Source organism: Homo sapiens, chromosome 10 (assembly GCF_000001405.40).
Source record: "Homo sapiens chromosome 10, GRCh38.p14 Primary Assembly".
In the NCBI taxonomy this organism is placed as follows: domain Eukaryota; kingdom Metazoa; phylum Chordata; class Mammalia; order Primates; family Hominidae; genus Homo; species Homo sapiens.
Window position 1 is genome coordinate 16,348,567 of NC_000010.11, and position 2,376 is coordinate 16,350,942.

The following is a 2,376-nucleotide window of genomic DNA, read 5'->3' on the forward strand; positions in this document are numbered from 1 at the left end:
GAATTCATGATTTGAAGCTGTAGTTAGCTCCTGGTGTGACTGTATTTAGACAGGTCCTTTAAAAAAGGTAAGTTAAAATAATGCCATTAGGATGGGCCCTAGTCTGATCTGGCTGGTTTCCTTACAATAGGAGGAGATTAGACCAGAGACACCAAGGATGCTCACACAGAGGAAAGGCTGTGTGGGAACACAGCAAGCAGGCAGCCAACTGCAAGCCAAGGAGAGAGGCCTCAGGAGAAACCAACCCCACTGGCACCTTGATCTTGAACTTGCAGCCTCCAGAACTGTGAGAACATAAATTTCTGTTGTTGAAGCCATCCTGTCTGCAGTATTTTATTATGGAAGCCCTACCAAACAAACACATCAGGTTAGGTCTCACTAAGAAAAAAAGATTTGCATAGGTATTTGAAAGAGAATCTGGGAGAAGAATGTTTGATGCAGAAAAAACACCTACAGCAAAGGACTCTGAGTTAGGAGTCTACCTTACATACTTGAGGAACAGGAACGAAGCCAGGTGTCTGAAAGCAAAGCATGTGGAGAGTAGAGGGGCAGGAGGACATTAGTAAGATAAAAGGCAACAGTCAGGGGGGTTACGCATGTTATCATGAGGACTTCGGCTTTTGCTCTGAATGAAGAAGGGAACCGTTTCAGGAAGATACAGAGGAATGAGGTGCCTCATAGCAATGTAAATTACTATAACAGTTTTGATTTGATGTGGGTTTTTAAAGGACCATTCTGATGCCTCTCCCTCTTCCCTCCTCATCTTGAAAAATTCAGTCCATAAGCCATTAGGTAACACAAAGCAAGGTAGGCATTGCTACCAGCAGGACAGGGGGATGGGCCAGGCGCGGTGGCTCATGCCTATAATCTTAGCACTTTGGGAGGCCGAGGTAGGCAAATCACCTGAGGTCAGGAGTTCGAGACCAGCCTGACCAACATGGTGAAATCTCGTCTCTACTAAAAATATAAAAATTAGCCAGGTGTGGTGGCACGCACCTGTAGTCCCAGCTACTCAGGAGGCCGAGGCAGGGGAATAGCTTGAACCCGGGAGGTGGAGGTTGCAGTGAGCTGAGATTGCACCACTGGACTCCAGCCTGGGCAACAGAGCAAGATTCCATCTCAAAAAAAAAAAAAAAAAAAAAAAAAAAGAATAGGGGGATGGACTCTTGGTGACCCAGACAGGTATCATAGCCCAAGTAGGTTGAAGACAGTATGCATGCTGATTGGAAGTCTGCCCAACCTGGGCTGCCAGAGGCGAAGTAGAACCAGGAAGGCTGCTTTGTGGAGGGTTGCCTTGGCATTGCGTCCAAGCAGGTGGCAACCACCACATGGGTGGCCCAGTATGAGGAAGCAGAGGCTGAAGTTCTGCAGAGGGAATCTGCAGACAGAATCTCTATAGAGGAGTGGTCTGGTGCAGGGAATTAGAGCCCAAGCTGGATGAGGAGAGCATCTGTGTGTGGGAGAGGGGTGGGAGGGAGAGCAGCCCAGAAAGTGGAATTAAGCCCAAGTTGGGTAAGGAGGGTATTTATGAAGGGAGCAGGTGGAAATGCAGATGGAAAAGTGGTTACAAACAGTGAAATATATTAAAGATAATGGGAGCCAAGTTTCTCATGGTTACAGAAAAGAGTAAAAAACATGAAAGGGAGAAAATGATAATAAAGCCCGTGGTGTTAGAAGTAATTAGTATGGGCTCTTGGTTTTTAATATATATGGTAATGGAAATAAACAAGGTACCTATGTGTGTGTTTATACAAATACATACATCCCCTGACTCTGTCCACTGAGGCAACTAGGAACAGTGACACCCCAGTAGTAATGAGCACTCCTAGTACCCAGATCATGGGTTCTAAGTGCTAAGTACTATATTTCACTATAAGGAATGGGGGGCTCCTTGGAGAAATGGCTGAGTCCAGGGTTGGTGCAAGGAATGGGTAAAATGAATCTGGAGGCCAGGCATGGTAACTCATGCCTATAATCCCAGTACTTTGGGAGGCCTAGGCAAGTGGATCACTTGAGCCCAGGAGTTCAAGACCAGCCTGAGCAACACTGTGAGACCTCATCTGTATAAAAAATACAAAAATTAGCTGGAGGTGGTGGCATGTGCCTGTAGTCCCAGCTACTGGGGAGGCTGAGGTGGGAGAATGTCCTGAGCCTGGGAGGCAGAGGCTGCAGTGAGATGACATCACGCCACTGCATAGTAGCCTGGGCGATAGAGCCAGACCCTGTCTCAGAAAAGAAAGAAAGAAAGAAAAAAAAAAAGAACTTCAACAAACAGTTAAAAAAAAGAAATGAACATTTTTCTTGTACTAGAGATCACAGAAGCACTAAAAGAATGACAACTTAAAGGGACATAGAAGCTAGCTTGAAGGGGTTCCC

The 2,376-nt window shown here is 46.0% G+C and overlaps 1 annotated feature.

The window, feature by feature from the left end:
- Positions 334-856: an enhancer, noted in NCBI's record as "OCT4-NANOG hESC enhancer chr10:16390899-16391421 (GRCh37/hg19 assembly coordinates)". NCBI's record gives its function as "activates a minimal SCP1, AML or CMV promoter by ChIP-STARR-seq in primed H9 embryonic stem cells {active_cell/tissue: H9 hESC(primed)}" and the evidence as "EXISTENCE:reporter gene assay evidence [ECO:0000049][PMID:30033119]".